At 41.2% G+C, this 12938-nt stretch overlaps 1 long non-coding RNA gene across 2 annotated transcripts in view, besides 1 other annotated feature; it reads left to right on the plus strand.

The window, feature by feature from the left end:
• The window catches only part of LOC124900465 (uncharacterized), a 145830-nt gene that overhangs the window by 17847 nt on the left and 115045 nt on the right, over positions 1-12938 (plus strand). The window lies entirely within an intron of this gene.
• Positions 12541-12590: an enhancer, noted in NCBI's record as "active region_18294". NCBI's record gives its function as "activates an Ori minimal core promoter by ATAC-STARR-seq in GM12878 lymphoblastoid cells {active_cell/tissue: GM12878}" and the evidence as "EXISTENCE:reporter gene assay evidence [ECO:0000049][PMID:35858748]".

Raw genomic sequence — 12938 nt, forward strand, 5'->3', positions numbered from 1 at the left:
TTGCCAACTTGCTGTCCATAGAAGTAGCACTATTTTACAATCTCCTGGCTATTTTTGTATTGCTTTTTAAATGAGGCCTTCAAAGCTTCAAATTACTTTATGTCATTTGAGTGCTGTACAGCATCATAGATGGTTTTGCCCTCAAGAACTAACATTCAAAAGAAATCAATTTTTTTCCAAGCACATACATATTTTTTAATGGGCTGTTTTGCTTATTGTAATCTATTTGTCCATATTTCTTTGCGAAAGAGTGAGTGTAATGAATCAGGCAGACATAGCTAGAAAGGTAGTTAACAAATGACATTCCTCCCTTGCCTCAGGGCCCATCGTGTTGTCATAGATGGCTCTTGTCCCTGGATTTAGACAGGCTGGCAGCTGCCTATTACCCCATCCATAACACCGTGCAGGAGATGAGGGTGGAGAGAGATGAGCTGGAAGTCTGGTGGCTAAAAGCAGAAGATTAAACACACCCTTGCTCAGGAAAACTTTCCAAACTACACATTACTCTTGACTTAAAAAAAAATGAACAAAATATATCACCCAAAAAATCCTGTCCTCAAGAAGGAGTCTGATGTGAAAGAATAAAACGTCGATTTATGAATAGCATGCTATGCATCACCTGGCAAAGGCCTGAAGAATCCTCTAGTCTCACGAGGTGGGCCAGCAACGTGGATCTGTCTCCAAATGACTGTAAACTTGTTTCTGCCTGTCTCACTTTACCTGTGAAATAAATGGACGAATACATTTTTCTCTTTGTCAGAATGGCATCACAGATTGCTCAGATGCTTTTCCCTGGAATCACACAGTCAAAATGTGGCCAAAACTGAACAGGAAGCTGAGACCCGCCCCCAAACAGGGCTCAGAACACAGCTCTCACTCTCATTCTGGGAAGTCCAAATTCTGCCTCACACTCAAGGCCCTTACTCCAGAAGCTGGCCCCACACTGTTATTCTGGTTTATTCCCAGATTAATCCTTCCCACAGAATCCACACTCCAAGGCAATGGAATTATATGCTTATCTGGAAACACGCTCTATTCTTTTCCACCTCATGCCTTTATGCTCTTTCTGTGCCTGTACGTTTCTCTTCACCATGTCTATTCATCAAAATCCTAGTTGTAGAATAACTAGAATTGTAGAATAATCAGTAGTTGTAGAAGAAAACTTTCCTTAAGTTTTCCCTAACTATGCTTCAACAAATTCTATGTAATCTCTTCCCTGGGTCAAACACATATTATATTTTCTGGTACTTCTCACCCAGAATTCCAGGCAGTTATTCATGTTTTTTATGAATTTGACTCTTTCATTCCCCTGCATTGGATTATAAACCCTTTTATGACACATACCATCAACCTTATATCCATTGCAGTGCCTGGCTCACTTCTGAGGCTTAAACACACACACACACACACACTCACACACACACTCCTACATGTGTTTAATATATGGATAAAAAGAATTTTGATGGAAGTAAATGACTGAATGAATCAATATGTGTTTCTTCAGTAGGTCAAATGGTGAAGGACATTAATCGTAATTGATACTACATATTTGCAGCTGGAAACTCTTGTTTGTTTCATGCATAAGCCAGTGGTTCTTAGTGACATCAGAATCACCTTGGTAGCTTGGTAAAATACAGGTCGTTAGGCCTCATCCCCAGAATTTGATTTGATAGATCTGAGATTGTACTTTTCTAACAAATTCCCAGGGGGTGTTGATGCTGCAGGTTCAGCCACCAGATTTTGAGAGCCGTTGTGATTGTATAGCAGTCTATTGTAATTGTGTGTGTGCTAACAGGATTGTTGCCAAGTCACTTTTGTTTAATTAGCTCTGATCTGTTTACCCAGGAGGATGTTTGATAGACCTCAGGAACAGATCCGACTCTGCCAATGTATCAATGGACTGTGATTGACAGGAAGACCAGCCTTCATGGCTGGCATTGTTTGGAAATTGTTGCTCCCTTGAACCTGTGATGGAATCCAAAAAAAATTCTTTCATCATGGTCCTTAACTCTCAGAGGAAGAAGAGTAGCACCTGCAGCTCAGCCGCTATTTGGACTTCAGTACTCTGCTGTGATAATGCCTGGGATAGCGAAAACCACATACAGCTCAGGCGCTGTGCTGATATAAAACCTGTGCAGTCCCGATGCCTAGATTTCAAAAGGCTGGGGTCATTAGAACATAATTTGTGGATCATCATGGAAAATAAAAATGAGGGGAAAATAATAGTTATAATTAAATTATAAATAATTAAAAAATATCTAATTTATAATTAATTTATAAAGAATATATTTATAAAATAAATACATTATAATTAAAATCATAATAAAAACATGATTAAGAATTTCAAGATGGCAACAGGAGAACGTTAAGCATGGGGCCTACTGAGCACAGGACTCTGTGTGGCTGCCCAGGTTGCGTTCCATGAATTTGCTCTGAACTTGGCTGTGTAGGGCTTTCAGCCATTCTGGAAGAGACAGTAGATGGCAGGGAAAGGGACTGGGCAAAGGCAGGAGGAGTTGGATGGTGCATGAGTAGAGAGAGAAGGAGGAAGATGGTGTTAAAGATGGCTTTCCTGGCTCTTCTTTCTCTCCACATTGTGAGAGTGTTGCTTTTTTGGGGTGGGGTAGGAGGGTGCCTCAACATCTGGTGTCTGAACCTGTAGCATCAGCATCAGCTGGGAATTTGGGAGTTTCCTGGAACACAAAGCAGGAAACACCCCCTGAAGTTTTGGCATGTCGCTCAGCACATGGGGGATATGATGGTTTAAGAAAGAATGACAAGGACAAGGACACTGACAACACCCCCATTTGTCCCAAAGCAATGAAGAGCACTTGACAAGCTCCAGGCTGCCCGAGAGCAGCAAGGCCCCCCTAGGTAGGGTACCAGAACTTGGAATCACTCTTGTTCTCTTCCTTTAGTGTGTCTTCTTCTTCAACTTCTCTTTAACTTTTCAAAAAATAAATTATATCGGCCGGGTGCGGTGGCCCACGCCTCTAATCCCAGCACTTTGGGAGGCCAAGGTGGGAGGATCACGAGGTCAGGAGATCAAGACCATCCTGGCTAACACGGTGAAACCCCATCTCTACTAAAAATACAAAAAATTTAGGCGGGCGTGGTGGCGGGTGCCTGTAGTCCCAGCTACTCAGGAGTCTGAGGCAGGAGAATGGTGTGAACCCGGGAGGCGGAGCTTGCAGTGAGCCGAGATCGCGCCACTGCACTCCAGCCTGGGCGACAGAGCGAGAGTCTGTCTCAAAAAAAAAAACAAAAAGAAAAGAAAAGAAAAAATAAATAAATTATATCTCTTATTTTTCTGTGGAAAATTTTTTTCTTGAAAAATTGTATTTATTTTAAAAAATAAAGGAATCCCTGGCTTCTGCATTAAGTGCTTAGTAGATGACAAGCTCCTCAGGGCCCAAGATCCACCTCATTCATCTTTGTGTCCTTGTTCACAGGACACAAAGTGGTACGCACATGTTGAAACACTGAATGGAATTGCTTTTTGCATTCGCTCAGAAGCTTCAAATTCTCTCCGCATTGTTGAGCACAGTGAGCGCAGGGTTATTGTTTAAATATTAAAAGAGAACACAGCTAATTTGAAGCACACATTTGGGTTCTGGACTATGGTTATGCCAGCTTCATTATGAAGTTTTTCATCACTTTTTGGCCTTTTGGCTAAGATTGAATGTATTATGTTGTTTTTCTTGTTAGGATAAAACCTTTTGCTGGATTATATATCCAGAAATTTTTTAAGGCTTTTGAGGAGATTTAATTTGATACACAGCTGCATGCTCTAGGTAAGTCAATTAACACGTCTGGATCTTATTTTCCTCATGCATTAATGTAACATCTAATTGAGCAATCCATGTACTGACACCCATTTACGAGTCAGGATCATAACACCCACTATTTTAGCTTGAACGGCTGTAACCAAGTACCATAGACTGGCGGGGCTTCTAAACAACAAATTTATGTCCCACGGTTCTGGAGGCTGGAAGTTGAGATCAGGGTGCCATCAAGGCGGCGTTCCAGCGAGGATGCTCTTCTGGGTTACAGACTGCCAACTTCTGGCTGTATCCTCACATGGCAGAAAGAGGAGAGAGCTCTCTGGGGTCATTTTTATAAGGGCACTATTCTTATTCATAAGGGCTCCACCCTCATGACCTAATCACCTCCCAAAGGCCCTACCTCCTAATACAACCATATCAAGGATTAGGATTTCAACATAAGAATTTTGGAGAGTGGGTCACAAACATTCAGTCCATTGCAATACATTGGCAAACGGTTCTTGTCGTCTTATCAACTAGTGCTCATGGACATGTAAAAAATAATAATGCAATTGCGGCACATAGCAAAAGAGCTCTGGGAAGAAGGGCTCTGGAACATAGAGGAGGAGCCCCTGCTCTCTGCCTGGGGAGCTGAGACAGATTCCACAAAGACGGTGCACCTGAAAAGCGAGTGTCTCCAGAAGTGGTGGATGGGCTCCCTGAAAACAGCTTCACACTGCTTCTTCTGAGCGTGTTGGTCAGAATGGAAGAATCTCTAATGTCCCCTCCAGACCTGGTGAATGAAAATACTGGGATTTAGGAGATGGCCTAAGAAATGTTTGGGAGCAGCACATGTTTCTATTTCTCTGCTTTTTTTTTTTTTCCTTACAGATGCTTGGTTGTCTCCCATTTCAAGACATGTCTGTTTTGACTGCATAGTTACATTTGTTGTGGTGAGCAGACTGCTCATTAATATTTTAATTAAGGAACACAATTTCTGTCCTCACTGTCCCCATATACTAGTTTCTGCTTTTTTTCCACTTTCTTTAAAGAAAAAATTCTTGGAAAAGCTTTGTTTTATAGAACTCTCTTGAGCAAGAGCAAATTTGTTTTCTCCGCAAAATTAAAGGTGAGCTATCTTGGAAACATATAGACCTTTCCATATCTCTGATTTCCTGAATTTCTAGTGAGATTCCCTTGTCTTCTGATGAAAATATTTGCTGGTAGTCATTTGTAATGCAAACAGCTTCCCTAACAATCTCTCTAGAGGGTGGAAGGGAATCTGTTTCTAAAGAAACCATGTGACATTGAGGACTTCTATGACTGTTACAATTTTAAGAAAATTTTAATTTGACCTTTTTTAAAGAAAAAAATTAGGTGTAAAGTTTAATCCTTCCAATTCTTCAGAGTCTGAGAACTTGTTAAAGAGGGAGGCTCCCTAAGATCTAGAATTCTTGAAATGAATGTCCATAACCTTGAACAACTTTTCTATGTTCTCAAAATCGCTACAACAGAACCCCTGAAGGACTTGAACTTCTGTGAACTTGAAAACAGCAAGTTCTTAGAACCTCAAGTTCTCTGTCTACCAAATTAAAACATTAATTCCCATCTCATGATGACATTGCTTCCATTTTATTCCCTCAATATTATTTTGAATATTAGGGAGTGGGTGGGTAGGTCTGGGAATATCACAGGGATGGGTTTATTGTTTGTTTCCGTAACATGACACATGCAATGGTGGAGAGCTTGTGTCATTATCAAAGAAAGCAAGAAAACTACTGAGTTCTGTACTTTCCTATTTGGTACAAAGATGCTGTGGACTTCGTCTGCCAAATTCTGCTCCCATTTTGGGAGAAGGAGTGGGTTGGAAAAACCATAGAAATAGGTTTGATGGGAGGCAAACACTCTCAGTGTCCCCAAGAACCATCATTGGTCACCCCCCAAATGGGGCAAAGACTGATTTTTGTCTATTTTATAGCATTGCTCTGCCTCCCTCCTTCCTCACTGCCTCCCCCTGAAAAATTTGAAGCACATGTTGCTGAAAAAATGATGCTGCCAACACTCCACAGTCTCAGGAACACTGAGAATGTTGAAATATTTGAGTTTGATTCTCTCCTCTGCATGTTTGTCCATGGATTTAAAAAAATCCGTAGTTACTGAAACAGGTTTCATTTGGCAACTCTTACAACTCCTAGGCTACTATTGTCCTGTCAACTTACTTTCCCCCATGTGGAAACTATTTCTTTCAAATACTCCTTTTATTGCTAAACTAAAGGCAAAACAAAAATGAACTAGGATGACAAATTCTTAAGAAATGTTTCACTATTTTATTTGCTTACTCAGAATAAGGTACAATCATTCACATAAAAAAAATCTTCCTACTCAGCAGAATTTGCTTTTGTTTTCCTCCCTGTAATTTACTGCCTGGTTAGGGTTTAATAGCACAATATACTCTCATTCACTGTCCCCATAAAATCTGCAGGCAGAGAAACAGCTACAGTCGGATATGTTCCCGCTCTGGGTTAAGAAATGGAATACTGAAGTTGAATCTTGGTGGAAGTGGAGCTATGAAATTATAAGGCAAATTGACTTTACAGGCATTTTTGCTGAGAATAGGGTGCTAGACACTCAAGCTCTGCAAACCTCCTGGGGCCTGTCTCATTCAGCACACTCCACTGCTTTCACTCGGTTTAATTTCTGAATATTATTTGTGTTGATTGTTAATGTCACGTGATACAATATTGCAAGAGTTATGATTGAGTTGAACAGTGTTTCTAGAGCTTACTCAAAGAAGAGAAAACACTCTTGGATACCAGTGGGGTTAAGTATACAGTGATTTCAGCATAGTTTTTTTTTTTAAATTATACTTTTAGTTCTGGAACACATGTGCAGAATGTACAGGTTTGTTACATAGGTATACACGTGCCATGGTGGTTTGCTGCACCCATCGACCTCATCATCTACATTAGCTATTTCTCCTAATGCTATCCCTCCCCTAGCTCCCCACCCTCTGACAGGCCCTGGTGTGTGATGTTCCCCTCCCTGTGTCTATGTGTTCTCATTGTTCAACTCCCACTTAGGAGTGAGAACATGCAGTGTTTGGTTTTCTGTTCCTGTGTTAGTTTGCTGAGAATGGTGGTTTCCAGCTTCATCAATGTCCCTGCAAAGGACATGAACTCATCCTTTTATACAGCTGCATAGTATTCACATATACACATAGTGTATATGTGCCACATTTTCTTTATCCAGTCTATTATTGATGGGCATTTGGGTTGGTTCCAAGTCCTTGCTATTGTGAATAGTGCCGCAGTAAACATACGTGTGCATGTGTCTTTATAGTAGAATGATTTATAATCCTTTCAGTATATACCCAGTAATGGGATTCCTGGGTCAAATGGTATTTCTGGTTCTAGATCCTTGAGGAGTCACCACTGTTTTCCACAATGGTTGAACTAATTTACACTCCCACCAACAATGTAAAAGTGTTCCTATTTCTCCACATCCTCTCCAGCATCTGTTGTTTCCTTTTTAAAGATCGCCATTCTAATTTGAGTGAGATGCTATCTCATTGTGGTTTTGATTTGCATTTCTCTAATGACCAGTGATGATGTGCTTTTTTTATATGTTTATTGGCCGCATAAATATGTTCTTTTGAGAAGCATCTGTTCATATCCTTCACCCATGTTTTGATGGGGTTGTTTGTTTTTTTCTTAAAATTTGTTTAAATTCTTTGTAGATTCTGGATATTAGCCCTTTGTCAGATGGATAGATTGCAAAAATTTTCTCCCATTCTGTGGGTTGCCTGTTCACTCTGATGATAGTTTCTTTTGCTATGCAGAAGCTCTTTAGTTTAATTAGATCCCATTTGTCAATTTTGGCTTTTGTTGCCATTGCTTTTGGTGTTTTAGTCATGAAGTCTTTCCCCATGCCTATGTCCTGAATGGTATTGCCTAGGTTTTCTTCTAGGGTTTTTATGGTTTTAGGTCTTATGTTTAAGTCTTTAATCCATCTTGAGTTAATTTTCGTATAAGGTGTAAGGAAGGGGTCCAGTTTCAGCTTTCTGCTTATGGCTAGCCAGTTTTCCCAACACCATTTATTAAATAGGGGATCCTTTCCCCATTGCTTGTTTTTATCAGCTTTGTCAAAGATCAGATGGTTGTAGATGTGTGGCATTACTTTTGAGGCCTCTGTTCTGTTCCGTTGGTCTACATCTCTGTTTTGGTACCAGTACCATGCTGTTTTGGTTATTGTAGCCTTGTAGTATAGTTTGAAGTCAGGTAGCGTGATGCCTCCAGCTTTGTTCTTTTTGCCTAGGATTGTCTAGGCTATGTGGGCTCTCTTTTGGTTCCGTATGGAATTTAAAGTAGCTTTTTCTAATTCTTTGAAGAAAGTCAATGGTAGCTTGATGGGGATGGCATTAAATCTGTAAATTACTTTGGGCAGTATGGCCATTTTCACGATATTGATTCTTCCTATCCATGAGCATGCAATGTTTTTCCATTTGTTTGTGTCCTCTCATTTCCTTGAGCAGTGGTTCATAGTTCTCCTGGAAGAGGTCCTTCACATCCCTTGTAAGCTGTATTCTCAGGTATTTTATTCACTTTGTAGCAATTGTGAATAGGAGTTCACTCATGATTTGGCTCTGTTTTTCTATTATTGGTGTATAGGAATGCTTGTGATTTTTTATTTTTGCACGTTGATTTTGTATCCTGAGACTTTGCTGAAGTTGCTTATCAGCTTCAGGAGATTTGGGCTGAGATGATGGGGTTTTCTAAATAGACAATCATGTCATCTGCAAACAGAGATAATTTGACTTCCTTTCTTCCTATTTGAATACCCTTTATTTCTTTCTCTTGCCTGATTGCCCTGGCCAGAACTTCCAATATTATGTTGAATAGGAGTGGTGAGAGAGGGCATCCTTGTCTTGTGCCAGTTTTCAGAGGGAATGCTTCCAGCTTTTGCCCATTCAGTATGATATTATCTGTGGGTTTGTCATAAATAGTTCTTATTATTTTGAGATTCTTTTCATCAATACCTAAGTTTTTAGCATGAACAGGTGTTGAATTTTATCAAAGGCCTTTTCTGCATCTATTGAGATAATCATGTGGTTTTTGTCATTGGTTCTGTTTATGTGATGGATTACATTGATTCATTTGCATATGTTGAACCAGCCTTGCATCCCAGGGATGAAGCCGATTCGATCATGGTGGATAAGCTTTTTGATCTGTTGCTGGATTCAGTTTGCCAGTATTTTATTGAGGATTTTCGTGTCGATGTTCATTAGGGATATTGGCGTGAAATTTTCTTTTTTTGTTGTGTCTCTGTCAGGTTTTGGTATCAGGATGACACTTACCTCATAAAATTAGTTAGGGAGGAGTCCTTCTTTTTCTATTGTTTGGAATAGTCTCAGAAGGAATGGTACTAGCTCCTCTTTGTACCTCTGGTAGAATTCAGCCGTGAATCCGTCTGGTTGGTCCTGGGCTTGTTTTGGTTGGTAGGCTATTAATTGCTGCCTCAATTTCAGAACTTGTTATTGGTCTATTCAGGGATTTGACTTCTTCCTGGTTTAGTCTTGGGAGGGTGTATGTGTCCAGGAATTTATCCATTTCTTCTAAATTTTCTAGTTTATTTGCATAGAGGTGTTTATCGTATTCTCTGATGGTAGTTTGTATTTCTGTGGGATCAGTGGTGATATCCCCTTTATCATTTCTTATTGTGTTTATTTGATTCTTCTCTCTTTTCTTTATTAGTCTGGCTAGCAGTCTATTTTGTTAATCTTTTCATAAAACCAGCTCCTGGATTCATTGATTTTTTTGAAGGGCTTTTCATGAATCTATCTCCTTCAGTTCTGCTCTGATCTTAGTTATTTCTTGTCTTCTGCTAGCTTTCGAATGTGTTTGCTCTTGCTTCTCTAGTTCTTTTAATTGCAATGTTAGGGTGTTGATTTTAGTTCTTTTCTGCTTTCTCTTGTGGGCATTTGGTGCTATAAATTCCCCTCTAAACAGTGCTTTAGCTGTGTCCCAGAGATTCTGGTACATTGTGTCTTTGTTCTCATTGGTTTCAAAGAACTTATTTATTTCTGCCTTAATTTTGTTATTTACCCAGTAGTCATTCAGGAGCTGGTGGTTCAGTGTCCATGTAGTTGTGTGGTTTTGAGTGAGTTTCTTAATCCTGAGTTCTAATTTGATTGCACTGTGGTCTGAGACACTATTTGTTATGATTTCCATTCTTCTGCATTTCCTGAGGAGGGTTTTACTTCCAATTATGTGGTCAATTTTAGAATAAGTGTGATGTGGTGCTGAGAAGAATGTATATTCTGTTGATTTGGGGTGGAGAGTTCTGTAGATGTCTATTAGGTCTGCTTGGTCCAGGGCTGAGTTCAAGTCCTGAATATCCTTGTTAATTTTCTGTCTCATTGATCTAATATTGACAGTGGGGTGTTGAAGTCTCCCACCATTATTATGTGGCAGTCTAAGTCTCTTTGTATTTCTTTAAGAAGCTGCTTTATGAACCTGAATGCTCCTGTATTGGGTGCCTATATATTTAGGATAGTTACTTCTTGTTGTTGCATTGATGCCTTTATCATTATGTAATGCCTTTCTTTGTCATTTTTTTAAATCTTTGTTGGTTTAAAGTCTGTTTTATCAGAGACTAGGATTGCAACCTCTGCTGTCTTTTTTTTCATTTGCTTGGTAAATATTCCTCCATCCCTTTATTTTGAGCCTATGTGCGTCTTTGCACATGAGATGGGTCTCCTGAATACACCACACTGATGGGTCTTGACTTTTTATCCAATTTGCCAGTCTGTGTCTTTTAATTGGGGCAGTTAGCCTGTTTATATTTAAGGTCAATATTGTTATGTATGAATTTGATCTTGTCATTATGATGCTAGCTGGTTATTTTGCCCGTTAGTTGATGCAGTTTCTTCATAGTGTCAATGGTCTTTACAATTTGGTATGTTTTTGCAGTAGCTGGTACCGGTTTTTCCTTTCCATATTTAGCGCTTCCTTTAGGAGCTCCTGTAAGGCAGGCCAGGTGGTGACAAAATATTTCAGCATTTGCTTGTCTGTAAAGGATTTTATTTCTCCTTCACTTATGAAGCTTAGTTTGGCTGGATATGAAATTCTGGGTTGAAAATTCTTTTCTTTAAGAATGTTGAATATTGGCCCCCACTCTCTTCTGGCTTGTAGGGTTTCTGCAGAGAAATCCGCTGTTAGTCTGATGGGCTTCCCTTTGTGGGCAACCTGACCTTTCTCTCTGGCTACCCTTAACATTTTTTCCTTCATCTCAACCTTGGTGAATCTGATAATTATGTGTCTTGGGGTTGCTCTTCTCGAGGAGTATCTTTGTGGTGTTCTCTGTATATCCTGAATTTGAATGTTGGCCTGCCTTGCTAGGTTGAGGAAGTTCTCCTGGATAATATCCTGAAGAGTGTTTTCCAACTTGGTTCCATTTTCCCCGTCACTTTCAGGTACACCAATCAAATGTAGGTTTGGTCTTTTCACATAGTCCCATATTTCTTGGAGTCTTTGTTCGTTCCTTTTCATTCCTTTTTCTCTAATCTTGTCTTCACACTTTATTTCATTAAGTTGATCTTCAGTCTCATATCTTTTCTTCTGCTTGATGGATTTGGCTATTGATACTTGTGTATGCTCACAAAGTTCTCGTGCTGTGTTTTTCAGGTCCATCACGTCATTTATGTTCTTCTCTTAACTGGTTATTCTAGTTAGCGATTCCTCTAACCTTTTTTCAAGGTTCTCAGCTTCCTTGCATTGGGTTAGAACATGCTCCTTTAGCTTGGAGGAGTTTGTTATTACCCACCTTCTGAAGCCTACTTCTGTCAATTCGTCAAACTCATTCTCTGTCCAGTTTTGTTCCTTTGCTAGAGAGGAGTTGTGATCCTTTGGAGGAGAAGAGGCGTTCTGGTTTTTGGAATTTTCAGCCTTTTTGCACTGGTTTTTCCTCATCTTCATGGATTTATCTACCTTTGGTCTTTAATGTTGGTGACCTTCAGATGGGGTTTCCGTGTGGATGTCCTTTTTGTTGATGCTATTCCTTTCTGTTTGTTAGTTTTCCTTTTAACAGTCAGCCCCTCTGCTGCAGGTCTGCTGGAGTTTGCTGGGGGTCCACTCCAGACCCTGTTTGCCTGGGTATCACCAGCAGAGGCTGCAGAAGAGCAAAGATTGCTGCCTGCTTCTTCCTCTGGAAGCACTGTCCCAGAGGGGCACCCGCCAGATACCAGCCGGAGCTCTCCTGTATGAGGTGTCTGTCTTCCCCTGCTGGGAGGTGTCTTCCAGTCAGGAGGCAAAGGGGTCAGGGACCCACTTGAGGAGGGCATCTGTTCCTTAGCAGAGCTCGAGCACTGTGCTGGGAGGTCCGCCGCTTTCTTGAGAGCCAGCAGGCAGTAACGTTTAAGTCTGCTGAAGCTGTGCCCACAGCCGCCCCTTCCCCCAGATGCTCTGTCCCAGGGAGATGGGAGTTTTATTTATAAGCTCCTGACTGGGGCTGCTGCCTTTCTTTCGAGATGCCCTGCTCAGAGAGGAGGAATCTAGAGAGGCAGGCTGGCAGTATCAGCTTTGCCGAGATGTGGTGGGCTCCGCCCAGTTTGAACTTCTGAGAGGCTTTGTTTACACTATGAGGGGAAAACCACCTACTGAACCCTCAGTAATGGCAGACGCCCCTCCCTCCACCAAGCTCTAGTGTCCCAGGTCGACTTCAGACTGCTGTGCTGGCAGCGAGAATTTCAAGCCAGTGGATCTTAGCTTGCTGGGCTCTGTGGGAGTGGGATCTGCTAACCTAGACCACTTGGCTTCCTGGTTTCAGCCCCCTTTCCAGGGGAGCGAATGGTTCTGCCTCGCTGGCATTCCAGATGCCACTGGGGTATGAAAAACTACTCCTGCAGCTAGCTTGGTGTCTGCCCAAACGGCCGCCCAGTTTTGTGCTTGAAACCCTGGGGCCTGGTGGTATAGGTACCAGAGGGAATCTCCTGGTCTTCAGGTTGCGAAGATCATGGGGAAAGCGTAGCATCTGGGCCAGAGTGCACCGTTACTCATGGTACAGTCCTTCATGACTTCCTGTGGCTAGGGGAGGGAGTTCCCCGACCCGTTGCACTTCCCAGCTGAGGTGATGCCCCACCCTGCTTCAGCTCGCCCTCCGTGGGCTGCACCCACTGTC

This window comes from Homo sapiens, chromosome 21 (genome assembly GCF_000001405.40).
Source record: "Homo sapiens chromosome 21, GRCh38.p14 Primary Assembly".
Taxonomy (NCBI): Eukaryota; Metazoa; Chordata; class Mammalia; order Primates; family Hominidae; genus Homo; species Homo sapiens.